This window comes from Homo sapiens, chromosome 19 (assembly GCF_000001405.40).
Source record: "Homo sapiens chromosome 19, GRCh38.p14 Primary Assembly".
NCBI lineage: Eukaryota > Metazoa > Chordata > Mammalia > Primates > Hominidae > Homo > Homo sapiens.
Genome location: NC_000019.10, coordinates 11,814,012 through 11,841,402, shown reverse-complemented (window position 1 = coordinate 11,841,402; position 27,391 = coordinate 11,814,012). Strand labels below are relative to the sequence as shown.

At 44.1% G+C, this 27,391-nt stretch overlaps 1 protein-coding gene and 1 pseudogene across 4 annotated transcripts, besides 2 other annotated features; one reads left to right on the top strand and one right to left on the bottom strand.

Annotated features, from left to right (window-relative positions):
- VN2R13P (vomeronasal 2 receptor 13 pseudogene) lies at positions 4,732-4,967 on the top strand (annotated as a pseudogene).
- On the bottom strand, positions 6,187-27,130 carry ZNF440 (zinc finger protein 440). Of its 4 annotated transcripts, none has more exons than XM_047438145.1 (4): positions 26,953-27,130; positions 10,994-13,836; positions 10,726-10,786; positions 6,187-10,035 (listed from the first exon to the last, which is right to left on the bottom strand). In XM_047438145.1, the coding sequence occupies exons 2-4, from the start codon at positions 11,127-11,129 to the stop codon at positions 8,439-8,441; spliced, it is 1,794 nt and encodes a 597-aa protein (XP_047294101.1). In that variant the 5' UTR covers positions 11,130-13,836; positions 26,953-27,130; the 3' UTR covers positions 6,187-8,438. The 4 variants fall into 4 exon arrangements, with proteins under 4 accessions (XP_047294101.1, XP_005259788.1, NP_689570.2 ...); XM_005259731.5 differs by having other exon boundaries at positions 10,994-11,129; NM_152357.3 differs by having other exon boundaries at positions 10,994-11,120.
- Positions 26,726-26,795: a silencer, noted in NCBI's record as "silent region_10134". NCBI's record gives its function as "represses an Ori minimal core promoter by ATAC-STARR-seq in GM12878 lymphoblastoid cells {active_cell/tissue: GM12878}" and the evidence as "EXISTENCE:reporter gene assay evidence [ECO:0000049][PMID:35858748]".
- Positions 27,216-27,295: a silencer, noted in NCBI's record as "silent region_10133". NCBI's record gives its function as "represses an Ori minimal core promoter by ATAC-STARR-seq in GM12878 lymphoblastoid cells {active_cell/tissue: GM12878}" and the evidence as "EXISTENCE:reporter gene assay evidence [ECO:0000049][PMID:35858748]".

Sequence of the window (27,391 nt, the reverse complement as noted above, 5' to 3'; positions counted from 1 at the left end):
CTGAATTTCTGACTGACCCATTCTAAGCCTATATACAACCCCATTTATTTATTTATTTATTTATTTATTTTTCGGGGGGACGAAGTCTAGCTCTTCCACCCAGGCTGGATTACAATGGCGTGATCTTGGCTCATTGCAACCTCCACCTCCCGGGTTCAAGCGATTCTTGTGCCTCAGCCTTCCGAGTAGCTGGGACTACAGGCGCCCGCCACCACACCCAGCGAATTTTTCTATTTTCAGTAGAGACAGGGTTTCTCCATGTTGGCCAGGATGGTCTTGAACTCCTGACCTGGGGTGACCTGCCTGCCTCAGCCTCCTGAAGTGCTGGGATTACAGGTGTGAGCCACTGGGCCTGGCCTTATTTAAAATTTTTTTTTACTTACAAGTTCAGTACCTAGACTCCTTTTATGACCTCTCCTAATGGCAAGCTGACGTCTTTATTTTTTTTCTTTGATACAGAGTCTTGCTCTGTCACCAGGCTGAAGTGCAGTGGCATGATCTCGGCTGACTGCAACCTCCGCCTCCCATGGTCAAGCGATTCTCCTGCCTTAGCCTCCTGAGTAGCTGGGACTACACGCATGTGCCACTACACCCAGCTAAATTTTGTATTTTTAGTACAGACAGGGCTTCACCATGTTGGCCAGGATGGTTTCAATCTCTTGACCTCATCATCAACCTGCCTGGGCCTCCCAAAGTGCTGGGATTACAGGCGTGAGCCACCGTGCTCAACCCGCAGGACAAGCTGGCTTCAAGGTCTAGAATTAAAAGTTATTTCTTACCTAAACTCACATTTGTTTCACTACAAATGTCTAGGAAAAGCCCCATGACAAAAATTATCACTTGTGGAGGGCATCACTGACTACCGTATCTGCCTGTGGATCCCTAGCTTTCCAAGGATCTCAGATTCTCTCAGTATAAAGGGCTCCTCCCATGGTCAATGTGAGTAGCTGGGGCACCTGCAGGGGAAGAACCAAGTGAGCTTTCTTTTTTTTTTTTTTTTCCTTTGAGACAGAGTCTAGCTCTGTCGCCCAGGCTAGAATGCAATGACATGATCTCAGCTCACTGTAACCTCCGCCTCCCGAGTTCAAGCGATTCTCATGCCTCAGCCTCCTAAGGGATGGGATTACAGGCGTGAGCCAATACACCCGGCTAATTTTTGTATTTTTAGTAGAGATGGGATTTCGTCATGTTGACCAGATTGGTCTCGAACTCCCGACCTCACATGATTTGCCCACCTTGGCCTCCCAAAGTGCTGGGATTATAAGTGTGAGCCAATGCGCCTGGTGTGAGCTTTCAATGACCTCTCTTTGTAGGCTTGTCATTGGCCTTAGCTTGCAGTCCCTGGACTCAGGCCTCTGTTTCAATGAGAAAATACCCACTGTTTGAAGAATCCAGCAAAATCTCTCAAACTCAGTTTATGTTTACAGGCAGGCAGGAATTTATAAGGCACTTACCTTTCATCCTCATCAGGGAAAATAAAAGTATCTAACCCTTTCAGTCAATAAACATATTGAGAAATGTGTTTACACTACTATGTAATTGCTCCTTCCCTGTGCATGTCAAAAAGATTCTCTTCCTTGTTCTTAGGCTGTAAATGATTAGAAAAGACAGAGAAGTGCCAGAGGTAGGATCCTTTTGAGACCACTACCCCTCCTTACAAAAAGTTAAAGCAGGCCGGCTGCAGTGGCTCACACCTGTAATCCCAGCACTTTGGGAGGCCGAGGCAGGCGGATCATGAGGTCAGGAGTTTGAGACCAGCCTGACCAACATGGTGAACTCCGTCTTTACTAAAAATACTAAAATTAGCCGGGCATGGTGGCACGTGCCTGTAATCCCAGCTACTCAGGAGTCTGAGGCAGGAGAATTGCTTGAACCCGGGAGGTGGAGGTTGCAGTGAGCTGAGATTGCGCCATTGCACTCCAGCCTGGGCGACCGAACAAGACTCCATCCAAAAAAAAAAGTTAAAGCAATCATCCTTGAAATTTGGTAGCTGCAACCTATCAAATCACTGAAATGTGTGCACCGGCCTTGTATGGAAAATGTCACCCTGTTAAGCTTCATTTTGCCCTATAGAAGAGAAGACTCAAATTCCCCGTGTTGGAGCACTGACCCCACTCTTCAGGATATCTGTTTCCCCAGTGGCTATCCTCAAACTATGTGCTCAGATAAACTCAGCATTTAATCATATTCTCTGAATCTTATTATCTTATTAAGGTGCACAATATTATTTCATTATTATTTCCATGATAACAAAGCACATACTACACATTAATCATATGTGAACACAAACATATGACAACAGTTGCCAGCCAGGTCTTACCCCACAGATAACAGGAAGAAGAAGAGTTATCCACCATTACAAGTTCCCCAACCTGCAAAGGAGGACTGGTATTTTGCTGAATCTTTGTAATTCACCAATTTATCTACTATACTTTATTGTGGAAGATTATTCATTTTCTCAAGCTGTAATAAAAGATTTTCTCTATTTCTTTTCCCAATCAGCATTCTCAACGCTATGCCCTGAAACTCTGTTACAAATCATCCAAAAATGGCCATGCACTGTGGCTCAAACTTGTAATACCAGCACTTTGGGTGTAGTGGTGTGTGCCTGTGGTCTCAGCTACTACGGAGGCTGAGGTGGGAGGATAGCTTGTGCCTGGAAGATGGAGATTGCAGTGAGCTGAGATTGTGCTACCTCATCCCAGTCTGGGCAACAAAGCCAGACCCTATCTTAAAAAAAAAAAAAGGAAAGAAAGAAAGAAAAAGAAATAAAGAAATCATCCACAAAAAAGGACAGACTTAAGAAATGTACTACACCACATCTGAAGAAGAAAAAAATTAAGAATTTTGAGACTGGGTGCGGTGGCTCACGCCTGTAATCCCAGCACTTTGGGAGGCCAAGGCTTGTGGATAACAAGGCCAGGAGTTCGAGACCAGCTTGGCCAATATCGTGAAACCCCATCTCTACTAAAAATACAAAAATTAGCCAGGTGTGGTGGCACGTGCCTGTGATCCCAGCTACTCAGGAGGCTGAGGCAGGAGAATCACTTGAACCCAGGAGGCAGAGGTTGCAATGCCCCGAGATCACACCAATGCATTCCAGCCTGGGTGAGAGAGCGAGACTTTGTCTCAAAAAAAAAAAATTTTTTTTTTGAAACAAATGCTATATAAGACTAATGATTTATTTCTGACATCTATTTTTATCTTGGCTCTGTGCAAAATTTTCTTATTTTTCCAGCTGTAGTGAAAATGCAATTTACAATTAATTTTAAAAATCTGAAGCTGCAATAAGTGAACAAATATATATATATATATATATATATTTTTTTTTTTTTTAGAAGGGCTCTCACTCTGTGGCCCAGGCCGGAGTGCAGTGCTGCAATCACAGTTCACTGCAGCATCAATCTCCCAGGCTCAGGTTATCCTTCTGCCTCAGCCTCCTGGATAGCTGGGAGTACAGGTACGTGCCACCATATCCAGCTAATTTTTTGTATTTTTTGTAGAGAAGAGGTTTTGTCATGTTGCCATGGCAGGTCTTGAGCTCCTGGGCTCAAGTGATCCTCCTTCCTTGGCCTCTGTGAGCCACTGTGTCCAGCAACAAATAATTCTTTACAAGGGAACAAACCCTGTCTGGGTATGGCGGCTCATGCTTGTAATCCTAGCACTTTCGGAGACTGAGCTGGGAGGATTGCTTGAGAAAAAGAATTAGATAACAGCCTGGGCAACATAGCATAATCCTGTCCCTATTACTTAAAAGTCTAAATAAAAGTCTGAAAAGCAGCATTTCCCACCTATTCTCTATGAGGGAGCCTTCATCTACATAACAAGGTCTCCTTAGCTACACAGGAGGTAAGCTTCTTCCTTTCCTCTTCCCTAATCTGTCTTGCCATTAAACCTGACTTACCCACCAAACCCGGGATTTTTTGGCCAGCCAAGTCTGCATTCTTTCTTGGCCTCAGAATGGTAATATAAGCTTTTTTGTCTTATTGTTGGGTGGGTCTTCATTCTGAAGGCTCCCATATATACATGTTAAATAAATTTGTATGACTCTTCTCCTATTAATCCAAGTTCCATGATCTGAAAAAATTTTTCCTGTCTTTTCACCTTATTTTATAAAAAAAGTGCAAGACCATGTATATCTAAAAATGAGCATTTTTGTATCTCAGAAATCAAGATATTTTCCATATATAACCAGAAAATGGTATTCATATTTAAAAATGTCCTAATATCAACACATTGAGGGATATTAAAACATCATTAATAGCGTAAAGTGGAATTCTGGAAGCTTAGCTTTGAATACATTTCATTTTGTCTGTTAAACATTGAAGAGAGTATGTGGTGTTAGGATATGTATTTGGTTTTCATCTAGGGTAATAATGTTGGGTATGTTAGGCCTCCGGGAAAGTCCTTGACCTTCTGCTGCCCTCCTTCCACTCTAATGTTTCCCCACCTTTTTGATTGTGGGTCTTAAAACCCTCCCATGAGAGGGTCCCACTGACTTCATGAAGTTTTTTCCTACAGAGTGTAGCCTTGGAAATACTCATTATATACCCTATCTGTAGCTGTGTGTCTGAAGGTAGTTCCAGAATAAACCATGAGTGTGAGGATTGCTTAAATAACTTATTTCTAAATGCTGAAACAAAAATTTCAGATTTCCTTGTCTAACCAGATGCAGAAAAGCATATGTTATAGATAAAGCATCAGGACTCAAGCAGGCACCAATGTCCCTGACTTTCAAAATTAGTGGCCTTCCTGGCATGTGAACACCCTTTGGGCCTGTGCTCCAGTGTCCTCTTTGGGGTGCTCCTTGGGCTCTTTGTGAAGCATCAAGACACCCCCATAGTCTAGGCCGATGTCAGGCTCTCCAGTGTGTCCTGTTCATCACCCTCAGCCTGCATTTTCATTGTCATTGTCATTGGCCATTCCAACACTGTGTTTGCATCCTGTGGAAAGTCACATTTGGGGTCAAGTGAATGGTGTTGTTTCTACTCTTTGGTGAAAAGTATCAGGGTGTATTTGGCCTTCAAGGGAGAAGGATGAGGCAGGGGTTGGATTCAGGTGCATCCAACTCTTTCTTTTTTTCTTCTGGAGACAGAGTCTCGCTGTGTCGACTAGGCTGGAGAGTGCAATGGTGTGATCTCAGTTCACTGTAACCTCTGTCTCCAGGCTCAAGCCATTCTCCTGCCTCAGCATCCTGATTAGCTGGGATTACAGGCACACACCACGATGCCCAGCTAGTTTTTGTATTTTTAGTAGAGACAGGGTTTCACCATGTTGACCAGGCTTGTCTTGAACTCCTGACCTCAAGTGATCCACCCGCTTTGGACTAGCAAAGTGGTGGGATTACAGGTGTGAGCCACTGTGCCTGATCAGGTTTCACTGCCCTGTCTTCCCTGCTCTGAGTCACTTTGTGTGATCTGACAATCAACGACTCCACCCTTCACTGGTGTGGATACATTATCTGGGACTGGGTGTGTCATCTCCACACACAGACAGGGTTTGGTCAGTGGCTGATGCTGCATCTTGTGGTGCCTGGATTTTGACCTTAGGGAGTTTGAAATAAGCGTTCCTAAAGAGCAGCTTCATTGGAACCTTAAAGGAAGTGACTGAATTGCTCTATGCCATTGCATAATATATAAAAGAAACTTTTCCATGTTGCTGTTAACTTTACACTGCTGAGATAAGCAGGCTGTTGACAAGTTAACCTCAGCAGCACATTATCAGAGAAAGTTAGCCTCAGCAGCACATTATCAGCAGCACATTATCAGAGAAATATAAGACAGGCTTGTATTTAGACAATTTACACAAATTTATTAGCCTCCTATGACTCAGTAAAGCAATTTGAAAAAATATAGCTTTATAAGGCATAAACAAATTTATATGTTTTAACTAAGGTACTTTCTGGTAAACAGTGCCTGTACATTTTAGGAAATATTTTAGTCTTTAGAGAATAAGTAAGGCAAAAACAGGTCCAGGAGTTTACAGATGCCCTCCCCTCACCACAAGGCCAAGTCTTTTTTTTTTTTTTTTTTTTTTTGAGATGGAGTCTTGCTCTGTCGTCCAGGTTGGAGTGCAATGGCGCGATCTTGGCTCACTGCAAGCTCCACCTCACAGGTTCACACCATTCTCCTGCCTCAGCCTCCCAAGTAGCTGGGACTGCAGGAGCCTGAGACCACGCCTCACTAATTTTTTGTATTTTTTAGTAGAGACTGGGTTTCACTGTGTTGGCCAGGATGGTCTCCATTTCCTGACCTAGTGATCCGCCCGCCTCGGCCTCCCAAAGTGCTGGGATTATAGGCGTGAGCCACCGCACTCGGCCCTAAGGCCAAGTCTTTTTTTGTGTTTTTTAAGACAGAGTTTCACTCTTGTTGCCCAGGCTGGAGTACAATGGTGCAACCTCGGCTCACTGCAACCTCTGCTTCCTATATTCAAGCAATTCTCCTATGTCAGCCTCCTGAATAGCTAGGATTACAGGAGCATGCCACCACGCCCTGCTAACTTTTGTATTTTTAGTAGAGACGGGGTTTGATCATATTGGTCAGAATGGTCTCTAACTCCTGACCTCGGCCTCCCAAAGTGCTGGGATTACAGGCGTGAGCCACCATGCCCAGCCAAGGCCAAGTCTTTTATTGTTGGAGAGACACGTGTCACATACCAGGCATATGAGACGATGCTCCTCAGTGACCATGATGAATCAGGACAAAAACAAGGGCATTTTGTAACTATATTTTTAAATGTGATAGAGGAAAACGTATTTCAAATCATAAACATGACCAAAATTTTTCTCTTCTTACTAATGTGACTTGTAATTCTCATACATCTCACAGTCATTTATGGCTTTTGGTCATATTTATCACTATGGTATATTACACCCTTGCTGACAGCAGGTATGGCACTGCTGGTTTTGGGGAAGAAGGCACTCAGAGGTGCATGAGATAACTATTGGTATTATGACTGAATGAAAAATTAGGGTTGCAGCTGGGCATGATGGTTCATGTCTGTAATCCCAGCATTTTGGGAGGCCGAGGTGGGTAAATCATGAGGTCTGGAGTTTGAGACCAGCCTAGCCAATATGGTGAAACCCCGTCTCTACTAAAAAATACAAAAAATTAGCCTGGCATGGTGGCGCATGCCTGTAGTCCCAGCTACTCAGGAGACTGAGGCAGGAGAATTGCTTGAACCCTGGAGGCAGAGGTTGCAGTGACCTGAGATCATGCCACTGCACTCCAGCCTGGGTGACAGAGTGAGATTCTTTCTGGGGGAAAAAAAAAAAGAAAGAAAAATTAAGGTTGAGATAAAAATGTAAGTACAGAAGCATGAAAAGTAAAATTTTCGAATAAAAAGATGTCTGGCATTTTATCCACATGGTTATACTGACTCACAATGTCCAAATAATAACAATTTAACAGTATAAGGCTGATCTAATACATGACACCAATGGGATATTATAGCTTCTTATTTAAAAAGAATATCATTTGTTAGTATACAGTTATTATAAACAGTTAATTGTTTACATTCATTATCTGTATTCAAAGAATCTTGTCAGGTCTGAACGCTTTCCCATACTGCTTACATTCATAGGGTTTTTCTCCAGTGTGAGTCCTTCCATGCATTTGAAGGTGCGAGGCTGATCTGAAGGCTTTCCCACATTGCTTATATTCATAGGGCTTCTCTCCAGTGTGAGTCCTTTCATGATATTGAAGGGAACTAGAAGAAATGAAGGCTTTCCCACTTGGCATACACTCATAGGGTTTCTCTCCCATGTGAGTCCTTTCATGATATTGAAAAGAAGTGGAAGAAATAAAGGCTTTTGCACATTGCTTACATTGATAGGGTTTCTCCCTAGTGTGTTCTTTCATGATATTGAAAAGAACTGGAAGAAGTGAAAGCTTTGCCACATTGCTTGCATTCATAGTGTTTCCTTCCAGTGTGAGTCTTTTCATGTCTATGAAAGGAAGTAGGCAAGCTGAATGCTTTTCTGCATTCTTTACATTCATAGGGTTTCTCTCCATTGTGTGTTCTTGCATGTATTCAAAGGATCTTGGCAGATATGAATGCTTTCCCACAATGCTTACATTCACAGAGCTTCTCTCCTCTGTGCATCCTTTCATGTATTTGCAAAGAAGAGAAATTATGGAATGCTTTTCTACATTTCTTACATTCACAGGGTTTCTCTCCAGTGTGTGTCCTTTTATGAAATCGAAGATTTTTGACAGATCTGAAGGCTTTCCCAAATTGCTTACACTCATAGGGGTTCTCTCCAGTGTGAGTCCTTTCATGATATCGAAAGGAAGTGAAGGAAACAAAGGCTTTCCCACATTGCTTACACTCATAGGGTTTCTCTCCAGTGTAAGATTTTTCATGTATTTGAAATGACTTGGCAGAATAAAAGCCCCTCCCACATATCTTACATTTATAAGGTCTCTCTACAGAGTGCATTATGTGTGTTTGTGTCCTTTCATGAATTCGAAGGTTCTGGGCAGATCCGAAGGGTTTCCCACATTCCTTACATGCATAGGGCTTCTCTCCATTGTGTGTCCTACCACGTATTCAAAGGTGTGGGGCAGATCTGAAGGCTTTCCGTCATTGCTCACACTCATAGGGTTTCTCTTCAGGGTGAGTCCTACCATGCATTCAAAGGATTGACACAGCTCTGAAGGCTTTCCCACATTGCTCGCATTTATAGGGCTTCTCTCCAGTGTGAGTCCTTTCATGATATCAAAAGGAACTGGAACTACTGAAGGAACTACTGAACGTTGCTTGCATTCATAGAGTTTCTCTCCAGTGTGAGTTTTTTCATGTCTTTGAAATGATTTGGGACAATAAAAGCCTTTCCCACATATCTTACATTTATAACGTCTTTCTCCAGAGTGTATTCTTATGTGTGTTTGTGTCCTTTCATGACTTTGAAGGTTATTCACATATCTGAAGGCTTTCCCACATTCCTTACATTCATACGGTTTCTCTCCAGTGTGAGTCCTACCATGCACTCGAAGGTGTGAGGCAGATCTGAAGGCTTTCCCACATTGCTTACACTCATAGGGTTTCTCTCCAGTGTGAGTCCTTTCATGATATCGAAGGGAACTGGAATGAGGGAAGGCTTTACCACACTGCTTACATTTATAGGGTTTCTCTCCACTGTGAATTTTTTCATGTCTTTGAAATGAATTCACAGAACAAAAGTCTTTTCCACATATCTTACATTCATAAGGTCTTTCTCCAGAGTGCAATCTTACGTGTGTTTGAAAACTTGTAAGAGAGGATAATGCTTTCCCACACTGCTTACATTCATAGAGATTTTTCCTAGAGTGGGTCCTTTCATGTATACGAACATAACGGGGACACGTGAATGCTTTTCCACATTCCTTACATTGATAAGCCTTTTCTCCCATGTGAATCCTTTCATGTCTACGATAGGATCTGGGACTATGAAATGCTTTCCCACACTCCTGATATTCATAAGGCTTTTCTCCAGTGTGAGTTCTTTTATGTATTCGATGGGTAGCAGAATAACTAAAGGATTTACCACACTGTTTACATTCACATGGTTTCTCTCCAGTGTGAATTCTTTCATGGATAAGATATAATCTGAGACAATGGAATGCTTTCCCACAAAACTTACATTTATAAGGTCCATCCCCACTGTGCATTACCATGTGTCTTCGAACACTTGAATGGGAAATAAAGGTTTTTCCACATACTTTACAAGCATTGGGTTTCTCTCCAGTGTGATCCCTTTCTTGTGTTCTAAAGGAGGGGCGGTATCTGAAGGCTTTTTTAGGTTGTTGACACTTACATGGCTTTGGTCCATATTCCTGATACTCATATGCCTTGTGTCCAATGTCACCTCTGATGTTCATATTAAAAGATGAGTTACCTAGGCCAACTTCTCCACACACAAAGCTTTCACATGATTTTACTTCAGGAGAAGCTTTCTTCTCCTGGAAGTTCAGTCTGTCATCTGGAACTGGGGTAAAAGTTTCTCCACAATGACTGTCATCTTTAATTTCATTGACTTTTTCTTCTATGAGACTCCTGTCAAAAATGAGAAGCATATTATGAAGGGTTTGTTTATAAGTACTTCTATATTAATCAACAAGTATTGCACTTGCATTTTTAACACTCTCCATCAAAGTGTAGGCTTTCTGCCCTGTCTGAATTGTTTGAAGGTGACTGGACAACATATTCTACAAGGTGACCCAGCCATACCTATTATTTAAAAAACTGTTTATATGGGGTATCTTAATACTCTTCCCATGTAAACTATTTTAAAATACTAAATACTCTGTGTCATTTTTCTTTTGTTTCAGGGTCTTATCCTGTTGCCCACACTGGAGTGTGGTGATATCACCATAGCTTACTGCAGCCTTTACTGGCTCAAGTGATCCTCCTGCCTCACTCAGCCTCCTGAGTAGCTGGGACTACAGACCACAATGCCCAGCTAATTTTTTGCTGTTGTTGATATGTGGTCTCGTTATGTTGCCCAGGCTGTTCTTGAACTGCTGGCCTCAAGCTATCCTCCTATCTCCACTTCTCAAAGGATTGGGATTACAGGAGTGAGCCCACAGCCTAGGTCACATTTACATATATGTTTTTTGATCAAATATTCTAAAAATAAATGAATTTGATCCTGGACTTAGTTCTTTGTTTTACTTATTTTTAATATATTGTCATATTCTAAGATTGTCTAGAGAGACACTGCTTTGTCTTGTAAGTACAAATTACCTGAAGTTTCTCCTGGGGTTTTGGTGCTCATATTCAATGTTCTGGTCTTTCCACCTTTTTCCTAAAATACAGACACAGAAAAAATAGTCCTGAGGCAGTATAAAATTGTGAAAAAATTATTAGATTCTACGCCCATGATTTACTGCAGCCATACCTCATTTATTCATCAAAGTATTTCCTGTCTATGTTCTAAATCACTCAACAGCATTAATGAGCTAGAAACACTGGTTCACTAATGGACTGAGGGAAGGAATATTGTCATCCTTACCTAAAGAGGTCAGGTTCCTGAAAGTTTCCAGCATCACTTCCCTGTAGAGTTTCCTCTGGGAAATATCCAGCAAAGCCCACTCCTCCTGGGTGAAGTTCACAGCCACATCCTTAAAAGCCACTGGGTCCTGAAACATCTCACATGTGTAGAAGAAGATGGGTGAGAGTGACAGCACTGGGGGCCTAGACTCTATTCCCAAGAAGTTCTCAGGATGCCGTGGACTCCAAACACGTATTCCCTGCTTTGGTCATCAGATCTCTTTCTCCCTGTGTATACTTACTTTCTTCCACAAAGCAACTTGTTTTTTTTTTCACTCTTGTTGCCCAGGCTGCAGTGCAATGGCATGATCTCGGCTCACTGCCGGGGTTCTAGCACTTCTTCTTCCTCAGCCTCCTGAGTAGCTAAGATTACAGGCATATGCCACCATGCCTGGCTAATGTTGTATTTTTAGTAGAGACAGAGTCTCTCCACGTTGGTCAGGCTGCCGACCTCAGGTGATCTGCCTGCCTCAGGCTCCCAAAGTTCTGGGATTACAGGCATGAGCCACCATGCCCAGCTAGCAGTTGTTTTTTTTTTTAAGACAGCGTCTCATTCTGTTACCCAGGCTGGAGTGTAGTGGCACCATCTTGGCTCACTACAACCTCTTACTCCTGGGTTCATGCAATTCTCATGCCTCAGCCTCCTGAGTAGTTGAGACCACAGGCATGTGCCACCACACCTGGCTAGTTCATAAAGCAATTGTGATGCTAGAACTGAACAAGGGCTAAAGCCACAGCAGGATAGGAAATGTATTTACCGAACCCAGGGAGAAAAGCGGGTTGCCTGGGCTGTCCCTAATGTCTCTTTGGACTGTGGGTCTGTAGCACCTGTCATGATAGAGTCCTACGAATTCATAGGCAAAACAAAGTTAACATTAGCAGTCCTGAGGCTGTGTATCCTTGAAAATGCCTGTTCTCAAAGTGTAATCTTTGATGATATTGTCAGAGGAAGCATGTAGGTAGCAAAGAGCAGGAGGGGGAGCCCCTGGGAAATCCCACACCCCCAGGGACCACCCAAATCAGGCATGCTAGATATAAGCAGAGAGGAGGGGAATCACCTAGGTAGAAAGAAACTTCCATTATGATGCCCAGGAATCATTCACTTTGCAGTTATCCTGTCAGAATGTAGCTAGATAGATGCTGATAGGGCAAAGGGGACATTCCTAAGCAAAACCTGGCACCGTATGTACACAAGAGGGCAAACAAGAAACTCCTAAGAGATACCCAGGTATCATAAGCACAGATTTAACCACTATACGACCTTCCTGAGGTGGCAGTAATGAGCAATGCAGCCACCCACATATCCATTGATGGCTGAATGTAAAAACAAAATGTGGTAAGCATATACATAAAATGGGATATTATTTACTCTTAGAAAATGACATCTTAGCCAGGCGTGGTGGCTCATGCCTGTAATCCCAGCACTTTGGAAGGCCAAGGTAGGCAGATCACCTGAGGGTTGGAGTTCAAGATCAGCCTGACCAGCATGGAGAAACCCCATTTCTACTAAAAATACAAAATTATCCGGGTGTAATGGCGCTTTCCTGTAAACCCAGCTACTCAGGAGGCTGAGGCAGGAGAATTGCTTGAAGCTGGGAGGTGGAGGTTGTGGTGAGCCAAGATTGCACCATTGCACTCCAGCCTGGGCAACAAGAGTGAAACTTGATTCAAAAAAAAAAAAAAAGAAAAAGAAAAAATAACATCTTGGACTAAACTACAACATGCATGACACCTCGGGATAATTGAAAAAAGCAAAATACAATAGAATTCATCTTAGAGAACTTATGTAGATTTGTCAAACTATCTCAACTGTACATGTAAAATTTCTTAAGCTGATAAGTTTTACATTTTGTTTTAAGATAAGTAATGATAATAAATCATGGTAGCAGCCAGGCATGGTGGCTCATGCCTATAATCCCAGCACTTTGGGAGGTTGAGGTGGGAAGATCACTTGAGGTCAGCAGTTTGAGACCAGCCTGGCCAACGTGGTGGAACTCCATCTCTAAAAAATACAAAAATTAGCCAGGCGTGGTGGCACATGTAGTCCCAGTCACTTGACTGGGACGTGGAGAATCATTTGAATCTGGGAGGCAGAGGTTGCAGTGAGCCGAGATTGCGCTACTGCACTCCAGCCGGGGCAACAGAGTGAGACTCTATCTTTAAACAAACAAACAAAACACCACAAGAATGTCCTTAATAGAGGCAGAAAAGGCATCTGACAAGCCTTAACCAATTTATGCCTAGTGTTCCATTTTTGGAACGCTAAGCATGTGGGAGTTATTTATATCCTACTGCTCAAGGTCATGGCCAAAGTCTGATTTTTCACACGTCGGCAATTCAAAAAAGTGCAACCTCCAGCATAAATAAGTTAATATCTCCTGATGATTAGAAACACTCAATAAACTAAATATATAAGAGAAGATTCCATAAGATGACAAGAGAGGCACTAGGAACACAGAAAAATCTACTATAAAGACGTGTATTAAAAATGCAAGCTGGAGGCCAAGGCGGACAGATCATTTGAGCCCCGCAGTTCGAGACCAGCCTGGGCAACATAAGGAGATACCCGTCTCCATAATAAAATAAAAAATTAGACATGGTGGCACAAAACAAATGGTATTGAAACACCTGAATTAGCAAATGCAAAGAAATGAATTAGACACAGAACTGCACCTTTTACAAAACTACTTCCTAATGAATCGTTTACTTATATGGAAAATGCAAAACTCACAATTTCACACTTGTCAAAACCAAGACGACCTTGATTTGGCAATAAGATTTCACACACAACACAAAAAGCATGATCTGTGAATGAGAAAATCAATAAATTGGACTTCATTCAAAACAAAAATGTTTTGGAAAAGACTGTTAACAGAATAAAAAGACAGGCGGCAGACTGGGACAAAATATTTGCAGAACAGCTATCTGATCAAGAACTGGTACCCAAAAGGTATGAAGAACTCCTAAAATTCTATAAGAAAAAAACCAACCAATCAAAAAATAAGCAAAACGCTGGGTGCGGTGGCTCATGCCTTAATCCCAGCACTTTGGGAGGCAGAGACGGGTGGATCACCGAGGTCAGGAGTTTGAGACCAGCCTGACTAACATGGTGAAACCCCGTCTCTAGTAAAAATACAAAAATTAGCCGGGCCTGGTGGCATGAGCCTGTAATCCCAGTTACTCAGGAGGCTGAGGCAGGAGAATCACTGGAACCCGGGAGACAGAGGTTGCAGTGAGCCAAGATTACGCCACTGCCCTCCAGCCTGGGTGACAGAGCCAGACTCAGTCTCAAAAAAAAAAAAAAGCCCAATCTTTCCAAGTATACCTCCCGCTAAAGAATGTAATTATGGCAAACAAACATATGACAGGATGCTCTACATTACATGTTATTAAAGAGCAAATGAAAACAGCCCGGGCGCAGTGGCTCATGCCTGTAATCCAGCTCTTTGGGAAGCTGAGGCAGGTTGATCACCTGAGGTCAAAAGTTTGAGACCAGCCTGGCCAACACAGTGAAACTCTGTCTCTACTAATAATACAAACAGTGGCCATGTGTGGCAGCATACACCTGTAATCCCAGCTATTCGGGAGTCTGAGTCAGGAGAATCGCTTAAACCCGGGAGGCAGAGGCTGCAGTGAGCTGAGATCGCACCATTGTACTCCGGTCCGGGCAACAAGATTTGAAACTCTGTCTCCAAAAAAAAAAAAAAAAGGAAAAAAAATTAAAAAAGGAAAACAACAATGAAGCACCAGCAAATACCTGGTGGAGTAGCTAAAATCCAAAACACTGACACTTCCAAATGCTGGAGACAGTGAACTCTCCTTCACTAGGGATGTGAATGGAAAATTCTACAGCCAATTTGGAAGACAGTCTGCGGAGCTCTGAAGAAAATAGGCATGGTCTTACTGATTCAGTAGTCTCATTCCTACATATTGACTCAAATGAACTAAAAACTGATGTCCACACGAAAGTCCTCCCACAAACGTTTTTAGCAGCCTTACTCATAACTGCCAAAAACTAGAATCAAACAAGGTGAGTCTTAAAAAAAAAAAATAGATAAGGTCTCACACGGTATCTACCAGGCTGTTCTCTAACTTCTGGCCTTAAGCAATCTCATCTCAGTCTCCCATGTGCTGGGAACTCAGGGATGAGGCGTGACACCAGGCTCAAGATGAGCCTTTCAACAGGTGAATAAAGAAACAAACTATGGTAACATCCGTACAATAGAATGTTATTCAGTGATGAAAGAAAATGAGTGGCCCTGGCCGCGTGCGGTGGCTCACGCCTGTAATCCCAGCACTTTGGGAGGCCGAGCGGGTGGATCACCTGAGGTCAGGAGTTCGAGACCAGCCTCAACATGGAGAAACCCCGTCTCTACTAAAAATACAAAATCAGCCGGGCGTGATGGTGCATGCCTGTAATCCCAGCTACTCGGGAGGCAGAGGCAGGAGAATTGCTTGAACCTGGGAGGTGGAGGGTGCAGTGAGCCAAGATTGCACCAATGAACTCCAGCCTGGGCAAGAAGAGTGAAACTCTGTCTCAAAAAAAAAAAAAAAGAAAAGAAAAGAAAAGAAAAAAAAAAGAAAATCAGTGGCCGGACATGGTGGCTCACAAGTGGAATTCAGGCACTTTGGGAAGCTGAGGCGGGAGGATCACCTGAGCTGGGGAGTTTGAGACCCTGTCTCTCACAAAACAAAAATCTTTAGATAAAGAAAGAAAAATAAAAAATAAATGAGTTGTCAAGCAACAAAGGTATTTAGAGACCTTCAAAGCATATTTTTACATGAAAGAAGCAAGTCTGAAATGGCCACTTACAGTATCATTCCAAATATGTGATATTCTGGAAAATGCAAAACTCTAGAGGCAGGAACATCATCATTTGTTGCCAGGGATAAATAGGGGTGGCAAAAGAGGGAGGGGAGAGGTATGATTAGAAGGAGCACAGGGGATTTTGAGGGCAGTAAAACACTTCTCTATAAGACTGTGATGGTGGATACATGACACATAGTTGTCTTAAACCACAGAACACAAAGAGTGAAGCCTAATGTAAAAGATGGACTTTAGGTAATAATAACATTGGCTTCTTCAATTTCCATCATGTTCACATGTAATATATTCTTGCATCAGTTGCAGGATACACTACACAAAGTCAATATGGTTTCTTTGGTTTCAAACAGTTTTTATTTTTTATTTTTTATTATTTTTTATTTTTTTTATTTTTGGAAACAGGGTCTTGCTATGTTGCCTAGGCTGGCCTCCAACTCCCGAGTCCAAGCTGTCCTGCTGCTTTGGCCTACCTAAGTGGTAGGATTACAGGTATAAGGCTCAGCACCTGGCCAGTCAAGATGTTTAGAATAGGGGGAACTATGCTGGGTACGGTGGCTCACGCCTGTAATCCCAGCACTTTGGGAGGCTGAGGTGGGCGAATCACAAGGTCAGGAGTTTGAGACCAGCCTGGTCAATATGGTGAAACCCTCTCTCTACTAAAAAATACAGAAATTAGTTGGGTGTGGTGGTGTGCGCCTGTATTCCCAGCTACTCGGGAGGCTGAGGCAGAAGGATTGCTAGAACCCAGGAGGCGGAGGTTGCAGTGAGCCGAGATCATGCCACTGCACTCCAGCCTGGGCAACAGAGCAAGATTCTATCTCAAAAAAAAAAAAAAAAAAAGGGTGGTGGGGGGAACTATGAGCCTGGAATAAAAATGCTGGAACTCTGTGGATTATCTGCCCAATGTTTTGGGGAAACAACCACTGTTCTAAATAATAAAATCCATTAAATAAGAAAGTGAATTAACTATCATTCCATATAAGGTTCATAACTGAGTTAAAATAAAATCCGATATAAAATATCACATATCGGTTATCATTTGCATAAAAAACATGCAAAAATAAAACACACTGATGAGGATGCATACCCAGGTTGAGAAAGTATAAGGAAAAGTAAGGCAGTTATCTTATTCCCAATACTGGTTCCATCATTATTTGAATTCATTGTGCAATTCTTTTATGTATTTTGTGCATACATAATATTTTTAGTAAGTTTCTAGAATGCACACTCTATACAGAAATAAATCTCAGCGAATTTTAATTATCAGCAACAAGTTGCTGAATGTAATTTTTAAAAGACAGCATATCCTATTGAAACTAATTTTTTTCTTTTTTCTTTTCTTTTCTTTTTTTTTTTTTTTTTTTGAAACAGGGTATCATTCTGTTGCCCAGGCTGGAGTGTAGTGTTGCAATCATAGCTCACTGCAGCCTCGAACTCTTAGGCTCAACAGATCCTTCTACCTCAGCCTCCTGAGTAGCTGGGACGACAGGCACACATCACAATGACGAGGTAATTTTTTGTATAGGCAAAGTTTGCCATGTTGCCGACACTGGAATAATCTCTTCATTTTTTTTTTATTTTTTTGAGATGGAGTTTCACTCTTGTTGCCCAGGCTGGAGTGCAGTGGTGTGATCTTGGCTTACCGCAACCTTGGACTCCCAGGTTCAAGTGATTCTCCTGCTTCAGCCTCCCGAATAGCTGGGATTACAGGCATGTGCCACCAGGCCTGGCTAATTTTGTATTTTTAGTAGAGACAGGGTTTCTCCATGTTTGTCAGGCTGGTCTCAAACTCCTGACCTCAGGTGATCCACCCACCTCGGCCTCCCAAATATTGGGATTACAGGCATGAGCCACCACGCCCAGCCACTAATTTCTATTAAAACTAATTTTCTTCAAGTCCAAAAAAGTCTCAGGAAGGATATAAAATGATTATTATGCAAAAAGTCTACACTGAAAAACATCAATATAAAATGAAATAAATGAAAAAATGTCATGTGTCCTTAAAAGGAGATTAAATAGCACTATGATGTAACGTTTCTGAAATATGACTACAGTTATATTTTAGTCCATGAAATTTACAAGGCAGTTTGTTTTTTTCACTAAAATTAAGGAAAAACTACTTCTAAAAACTGAAATATAACACAATGACTAAGAATAGCCAAGATGCTCTATAGAGTATGGTTGGGGGGGTGTTACGGCATGAATATTTGCATCACTCCAAAAAAATCACATATTAATAACCTACCCCCAATATAGTATTAGAAGTTGACATCTCTGAAAAGTAATTAGGATTAGATGACAGCATAAGAGTCGATCCTTTCTGAATGAGATTAGTGCTCTTATGAGAAGACACAGGAGAGCCGGCTTCCTCTCCTCTGTCACATGAAGAAACACAAGAAGATGACCATCTGCAAAACCAGGAAGTGGGCCCTTACCAGACACTAGATCTGCCAGCTCCCTGAACATGGACTTCACAACCTCAAGAACTGCCAGAAAGAAATGTTTATTCTTTAAGTCACCCAGTCTATGGTAATTTGATATAGCAGCCCAAGATGACTAAGATAGACAGGCAATATACCCACTAAACACTGCAGCTTTGAATGCTATACTAATTAAGAGAAAATGGTATTATCAGAGAGACAAAGATAGACCAATGGAAAAAGCAAATTGTGAAACCAGGGCATCTTTTTTTTTTTTTTTTAACGGAGTTTCACTCTTGTTGCCCAGGCTGGAGAGCAATGGTGTGATCTTGGCTCACTACAACCTCCACCTCCCAGGTTCTCGTGATTCTCCTGTTTCAGCCTCCTGAGTAGCTGGGATTACAGCCATGTACCACCACGCTTGGCTAATTTTGTATTTTTAGTAGAGACAGGGTTTCACCATATTGGTCAGGCTGATCTTGAACTCCTGATCTCAGGTGTTCCACCCGCCTCAGCCTCCCAAAGTGCTAGGATTAAAGGCATGAGCCACTGTGCCCAGTCTGGGCATCTGTTTAAGGTAATGTGAAACTATGACAAACCAGGTATTGCCAGCCAATGATACAAGTGGTGAACACTTAACAGAAAAAGCAGGGACAAATGGTTATCTACAGGAGAATAATCAATCCACTACCTGTCATCTCCATATACAATAATTTAATTAATTCTAGAGTTGCCTCTTATACTGAGTTCTTATAATTATATGTTACCTTAGCATGCATTTTCTTTAAGGATTTAACTTTCTCATAACGGAAGAAAACTTTATTCAAACTCAACAGAGTTTCTAGTTCTCCACTTTCTCCCAGTTCCTCCATGTGGTCAACTCACATATATTTATTACACAACTGCATTCTGGTGACCACCTCCCTGTGGGACAGCTAGATATAACCAATTTGACTTGTACCACTGACCCTTACACCCCACATGGATGGTACAGACCACCTCTTAATCACAGTGCGACTTCACAGAACTAGTGCCTGCTTGCTCTAAATCCACCAGAAACAACTCCCCAAGAGACACCTCCTTGGTCAATTCCCTAGACCCCAAGAAACGCTTTGGCCCACAGGTCCCTGTCTGTCTTGCTCCCCACCTACTGGTTGAATGTGCATCCTGGATGTTCCCCCCACTCTGTGTTGCTCTGCAGCTGTGCTGCCCTCATCTCCTGGGATTGTGAGCCATGCACTGTATGTCATGGGCTTTGTTGAGTTGCCTCTTCTGTGTCTCACTGACCTACGCAATCATTCTTGGATTTGGTTCTAGTGACAAATGCAATGTAAAGTTAATTTGAAACACTCAAGCTGCAATCTATGAACAATTCTTTACAAGGGACAAGCCCACAGAGGGGCCGTGCTGGCTGGAACACAGTGATGTCTGACTCATGTGTCAGCACAGTCACCCTATCACATGAGACATCTCTCCACCCCCATCCTGCTCACCGAAGCGCTCAATGACTACTTTCCACCAACACTGCACTATACCCCCCTGTGTGCCCCCTTTCATATTCTGATTTGCAGGCTACTGGTCCACCCTGCTGGGGTGGTCTTTGTTTTTTGGGGTTTTGTCTCCCTTCACAGTTGACACAATCCAGAGGACAGGAAGCATTTCTCTTTTCTCTCAATAGCACCATCCAACTGGCTGACCAGCCATAGGTCTCCAAGTTCAGGAAACTGGGGTTTGGAAAGAAATGCTGAGCATCTCGAGGGGTTGGCTATCTAGATGCAGAGTATACTAGGAGTCTCCTTCCATCACAAGGCATTCAGCTGCTCTCTTGGGAGTCCCCATTCTCCTACCTCAGTCTGTCCCCTGGGAGGAGTGACTCCGGCTGATACTCACTAGACCCTCCAAGAGACATGGCAACTGTGGGCATATTAGGTCACCCCAATTCTGCCACCCAGGACCAAGAAAACATAGGAGAGTGCGCTGAAGACATAACACCCTTTGAAGTTTCCAAAGGGGAGCCTCAACCAAAAGACAATCTGATAAAATCTGTTTCCAGAACAGATGAATGGAGGAGAAGCATGCATATTTTGACAGGAAAGTGTCTGGTGGTGATTCTCTGAACATTTCACATAGAGGAAAGGAGAAGTGCTAATTGACTATTTCCCACCAACACGGCATTGTGTCCCCTGTGTACCCCCATGTATATTTTGCTTTGCAGGCTATTGCTCCACCCCGTTGAAGTGGCCTTTCCTTGTCTTTTGGGAGTTCTCTGAGTTCTCTCTTCAGAGATGAGACAATCCAGAAGATAGGAATCATTTCTCCTTTTCCTCAATAGCAACATCCAATTGGCTGACGGTCATGTGTCTCCAATGAATGGAAACTGGAGTTGGGAGAGAGAAGCTGAGCACCCCAAGTATTGGTTATGTAGATGAAGAGCATACCAGGCATCTCCTCCACTATTATTCATTCAGCTGCTCCCTCAGGAGGCTCCACTCCCCTAGGCACTGATAGCCACTAGACCCTCCAGGAGACAGGGCAGTCGTGGGGATTTTGAGTCATCCCCAGGCCGTTCTAAAACCCGAAACCTGGAAAAGACAGGAGGGTGTAGGGCCGGGCACAGTGGCCGGATTACGCCTGTAATCCCAGCACTTTGGGAGGCCGAGGCGGGCGGATCACAAGGTCAAGAGATCGAGAACATCCTGACTAATACGGTGAAACCCCGTCTCTACAAAAAATACAAAAAAAATTAGCCGGGCGTGGTGGCAGGTGCCTGTAATCCCAGCTACTCGGGAGGCTGAGGCAGGAGAATGGCATGAACCCGGGAAGCGGAGCTTGCAGTGAGCCGAGATCGCGCCACTGCACTCCAGCCTGGGCGACAGAGTGAGACTCTGTCTCAAAAACAAACAAACAAAAAGGATACGAGGGTGTATGGAAGACACATCACCCTGTAAAGTTTCCACAAAGGAACCTCATCCCAAAGACATCCTGATAGGTGACTGTGTCTAGGAAAGATAAAAGGAGGAGAGGCAGAAAGGTTTTCTCGGGAAAATGTCTAGTGGTTATTCTCTGCTTTCCTCTCATGTGAAATGTTCAGACACAGATTTCACTGCAAGCCCTTGAAGAGTCAGGCTGTGGTATGAGGGTGGAGGATTTGAGGCCCTGCATCCCGTATATTTGGAAATTGTAGTGGGAAACCACTCACCCTGGAAAGTGTGAAAAAATTTAAATAAGAAGCAATGAGACCAAACTGTGTGTAGTATTCTAAGGTCCTACCTAAGGACACTAAAATCAAATTTAAATAAAACACTTGAAAATTACTAATTTATAGGGAAATGAAATTTATGCTTAATCAGGCATAATCCACCAATTAACCTGTGATTACATGACTAGAAATCTTCTACCTATATAGGCTGTGTGAACAAGTAAGTCAGGCCAGGCATGGTGGCTCACTCCTGTAATCCCAACACTTTGGAAGGCCAAGGCGAACGGATCACTTGAGGCCAGGAGTTCGAGGCCAGCCTGGCCAACATGGTGAAACCCCCACCTTTACTAATAATATAAAAATTAGCCAAGTGTGGTGGTACGCACCTGTAATCCCAGATACTTGGGAGGCTGAGGCAGGAGAATTACTTTAACCCAGGAGGCAGAGGCTGCGGTGGGCCCAGATGGTGCCACCGCGCTCCAGCCTGGGTGACAGAGTAAGATTGTGTCTCAAAAAAAATCAAAAAAACAAACAAACAAAACACAAGTAATTAAAAAATTTAATCTCTAAATTATCTTTAAGCAATGTGATCATGGAGTTGAGTCACCTGACACACAGCTTTTACATAGCCAGTTGGAACCCTCCTTTCCCTGATTACAGATTCGCCTTCTTTCTTACCTATACTGTTTTGTAAAATGTTGTAAATGACTGAGGGAAAACAGGAAAGACCCTTTCCCTCATCACTATTTTTTTAAAATTTAATATGATTTTTCATAATTGAGATGGGGGGGAGGGTCTCACTATGTTGCCCAGGCTGGTCTTGAACTCCTGAGATCAAGCCATCCACCTGCCTTGGCCTCCCAAAGTGCTGGGGTTACAGGTGTGAGCCATCCCACAGGGCCTCTCTTCACTACTGATCTCTGTAGTAGACTAACTTCCCTCTTAACTTTCTCACACAAAGACTTCATGGCTATCACACTGTCTTCAGCTGGAATGTTAAATTCACTCTTAAATTGAAAAGGAAATAAAAACGAGCTTTAAAGAAAACAAGCTCTGGGGGAAAAAAAACCATAATGAATTAGGTTGTTAGCCAGGTGCAGTGGCTCACGCCTGTAATCTCAGCTATTTTGGAAGCCAAAGAAGGAAGACTGTTTGAGGCCAGGAGCTAGAGACCAGCCTGAGCAATGTATTGGGACCCCACCTCTGTAAAAAATAAAAAATTAGCCAGGTGTGCTGGTGGGCGACTATAGTCTCAGCTACTTGGGAGGCGGAGGTGCTTGAGCCGGGGAGGTCAAGGTTGCAGTAAGCCATGATCGCACCACTGCTCCAGCCTGGGCCACAGAGCAAGATATTGTCTATAATAATAATAATAATAATAATTAAATTGTTGTACCTCATACATCAGCCTTCTATGGAAAATGTAATCCTGTTATATTTATTTGCCTTTCGCCTATATAAGTGTTAGGGAAGCAGGTGCCTAGGGGAGCCAGAGTAACACACCAATTTAAGTTCAGCTCCATCTTGAGACTAACAAGAAACACTCCTTGCCAGTCGCAACCCATGATCACAAAATGTTTCCCATGAAGGAGACAGCCTGAAGATGCCTGCAAGTATCCTTACACTCCCACAACAACAGAATGTCCTGATGTCCCAATACCCATAATAATATGTGCTTTCAAGATAATTATAGTTTTTTTTGTTTGTTTCGTTTTGGTTTTTTTTTGAGACAGAGTTTCACTCTTGTTGCCCAGGCTGGAGTGCAATGGCACAATCACGGCTCACTGCACCTCCACCTCCCAAGTTCAAGCAATTCTCTTGTCTCAGCCTCCCGAGTAGCTGGGATCACAGGCACATGCCACCATGCCCAGTTAATTTTTTTTTGTATTTTTAGTACAGACAGGGTTTCATCAGGCTGGTATCGAACCCCTAATCTCAAGTGATCCGCCCACCTCGGCCTCCCAAAGTGCTGGGATTACAGGCGTGAGCCACCACACCTGGCCTGATAATTATAGTTATGTTTTAATGCACTTGTATGCACTAAAATGTAAAGGATAGTTTTCTTTAAATCAACAGAGTAATAAATTTTGTGACGCTGTCAGCCCACATGCACGTAGGCACAGCTCAGTTTAGTCTTTTACATAGACAAGATCCCTACATAAGAAAAACTTAGACAGTACGTTCCTCCACTTGCTTTAGGAGGATGCCCTACTCTGTAAGAGAGGCTTTCTTTCTTTCTTTCCTTTTTTTTTTTTAAATAGAGACAGGGTCTCACTGTGTTGGCCACGTTGGTCTTGAACTCTGTCTTGTTTGTTTGTTTTGTTTTTGTTTTTTGAGATGGGGTCTCACTCTGTTACCCAAGCTGGAGTGCAGTGGCGTGTCCTCAGCTGGGCTGCAACCTCTGCCTCCCGGGTTCAAGTGATTGTCCCATCCAGCCTCCCGAGTACCTGGGACTACAGGTGCAGGCCACCACACCCGGCTAATTTTTGTTATTTTTGGAAGAGATGGGGTTTCACTATATTGCCCAGGCTGGTCTCAAACTCCTGACCTCAAGTGATCCTCCCACCTCGGCCTCCCAAAGTGCTTAGATTACAGGCCTAAGCCATCATGCTGGCCCAGAGTAGCTTTCAATAAACTCTCTTTGCACTGTACTTTCCGACTCGTCTTGAATTCCTTCCTGTATGAGATCCAAGAACTCTCTTGGGATCTGATCAGGACCTCTTTTCCCAGTAATATAAGCAAGAACTTAACTTCCAATTTTGGAGTACTGAGTCCATTTCTCTGGAGTCTGTGTTTTTCCCAAATGGGCCATTGCTATCTTTTTGCTTGAATAAACTCTTCCAGTTGAAATCTGAAACTTTCGATTATTTCGGGTTGACAAGTCCAAATAAGGTGACTGCATCTCTGCAACCAATCAAGCATTTATCTGGTTTGTCTCCTCATGTACCTTATAAAAGTCCAGCCTTCAACCTGTAAACTAAAAATAAAAACATACCTTCTGGCCTGGTGAGGTGGCTCACACATGTAATCCCAGCATTTTGGGAGGCCGAGGCCAGTGGATCACTTGAGGTCAGGAGTTCAGGAACAGCCTGGCCAACATGGTGAAACCCCATCTCTACTAAAAATACAAAAATTAGCCGGGTGTGGTGGCACATGCCTGTAATCCCAGCCACTCGGGAAGCTGAGGCAGGAGAATCGCTTGAACCCGGAAGGTGGAGGTTGCAGTGAGCCAAGATAGAGCCACTGCACACCACCCTGGGCTACAGGAGACTCTGTCTCAAACAAAAACAAAAACAAAGTACCTTCCCAGCTAAGTGAAGTGACTGGCTCTTGGCCAAGGGAACCCCCAAAAAACCCTGAAAATTGAGTGCCTCTGTATGACAGGATGGGAGGTGAGACAGGTCTCCTTATACCCTCTCCCTTTAGGAGTTTACATGCAGCAACTGACGCACATTCATGTAAAAACAGACATTATCTGACTGGAAAAACAGACTCCTTGTGGCAACAAGATACCAAATTACAAACAAGACCTAAGGCCACGCAAGGCAAAGGTAAAGTTACGCCTTAGAATTCATAAAATCTCGAGAAACAGGTCTGTTTTTTGGCTGGGATGGAATGAAGTGGCAGATAACAGACCCCCTTCCTTCAGCATTCCTTCCTACCTCCTCCAAACTTTAGACAAAGATTCAACACTCTCAACCAGCTGCCACCTACAGAATCCCTCAACTACCTGTGCCTTCTAACCCCCCTTCCACAGGTCCCACCCTTTCTGCCAATGGAACTTACACCTTCCAGGCACTGATTCATGATTTTCCCTGCAATTCCTGTCTCTCTGAAATGAATAAAACCAAACTGTCTTGAGCTGCCTCGGGACCACTTACTCCAGGCTGCTTGGGGTTGTGTTTCCCTCGGCCAACGGCTCTCCTATTCGGCTCCTAATAAACTTCTTTATTTTACATAGCTTGGCTTTTTCCGTTGACAAACCACAAGCCAGGACTGGGTGTTTCTCATTCGTGAATCGTTGTTGTTGTTTTGAGATGGAGTCTGGCTCTGTTGCCAGGCTGGAGTGACGCCGTCTTGGCTGACTGCAACCGCCGCCTCCTGGGTTCAAGCAATTCTTCTGCCTCAGCCTCTCAAGTAGCTGGGATTACAGGCACGCGCCACCATGCCCAGCTAATTTTTGTATTTTTAGTAGAGATGGGGTTTCACCATGTTGGCCAGGCTGGTCTTGAACTCCTGACTTCCTGATCCGCCCGCCTCGGCCTCCCAAAGTGCTGGGATTACAGGCGTGAGCCACCGCGCCCGGCCCTAAACTCTTTAATTGTTAACGTACCTCAGTTTAATTTTTAACAGAAAAAAGTGGGCACTGGGGACCCCAAAGACCGCTACTCCTCCCACACGAACCTGTCAGAGATGATAAATTACTTTTCTAAAAGCTTTAGTAAGCTGTTCTTTGTTTCTTGAGACCGACTTCCTTGTCTCCTAGCTACCTGTTCTGTAAACAACCTTCCCGCTTTTGCCGCGCCCAGACAAGTCCAGATACGCCTTCCCGCCTAGTAACGGACAGTCCCTGTTCCTTCCCGTCTCATAGACCCTATTTAATTTGTGTGTGTGTGTGTGTGTGTGTGTGTGTGTGTGTGTGTGTGACGGAGTTGCCCAGTTGTCTCGCTCTGTTGCCCAGGCTGGAGTACAGTGGTGCGATCTCGGCTCACTGCAAGCTCCACCTCCCGGGTTCACGCCATTCTCCTGCCTCAGCCTCCCGAGTAGCTGGAACTACAGGCGCCCGCCACCATACCCAGTTAATTTTTTTGTATTTTTAGTGGAGACGGGGTTTCACCGTGTTAGCCAGGGATGGTCTCGATCTCCTGACCTCGCGATCCGCCTGCCTCGGCCTCCCAAAGTGCTGGGGTTACAGGCGTGACCCACCGCGCCTGGCCAGACCCTATTTAATTTTAAACCTTAGCCTATCGAGTTAGTTTAGATTGTGAGGTCCAACCCTAGCCAATGAGGAAAGGACACAGAAGTGCTAGAAACTGCGTTAAGGAGAAAAACCCCTGCCCTACCCCGCTCGCTGTGCTCTTGTGACTGGCGCAAGCTGCACCCTTGTGTAGAAATAAATTTGCTTTGCTGAGGAATTTTCTGCCTAGATGCTGGTTTTCTTTGCGGCACCGGGCACTTGTTTCTAACAAACCCCATATCCGAGGCGGGATCCCCCCATATCCCTCCCGTGGCCCCCGCATAATGTGGGGAGACGCGGAGCTGCCCAGATTAGGCTCCGGAGCCGGGGCCGCAGTCGCCGTGAAGGGACGGGACAGGAGGCCCGGGGTCCCGGCTGCCGGCCCAGCCCCACCCTGCGACCGAGGGGACTCGCGTCCACGACCCCGGAGTCGCCGCGTGGAGGCCCGGGTCCCGCCTCAGCCGGTTCCGGCCGATTCCAGCCCCTCTCCCAGTCGCCCGGACGCCAGCCCCCTCACACACACCATTTCTCGGCTTCCAGGGTGTTCCGGCGTCCTCTGCGTGGCTCCCGCGACTAGTGTAGGTCACAGTGCAGGTTACAGAGCGACAGAAGCTCTGGTGGAGGCACCTAGTCCCTCTCGAAGCAAGAAAGCCGAGATCCTGACCGCTGTCGGCGCAGCACTAAAGGAATGGACGGAGGGCGACTGTCCCTTCCCCCTTCCCCGGATGGACAGTTGACAGGGCCCCGCCCCAGCACCCCTGATTGGATGGGGCGCCAGGCCCCGCCTCCTCCGTGCTGAGTGACAGCAGAAGCCCTGGGTAACCGGGTCCTGCAGATCATGTCTGACTTGTTCTGGCCACAGCGTCTCTGAGCGAGCAGCCTCTCTAAGCGAGCAGCCTCTCTAAGCGAACAGCCTCTCTAAGCGAGCGCCTTCCTTGAGCCCTGGTCATCAGATATTTGCA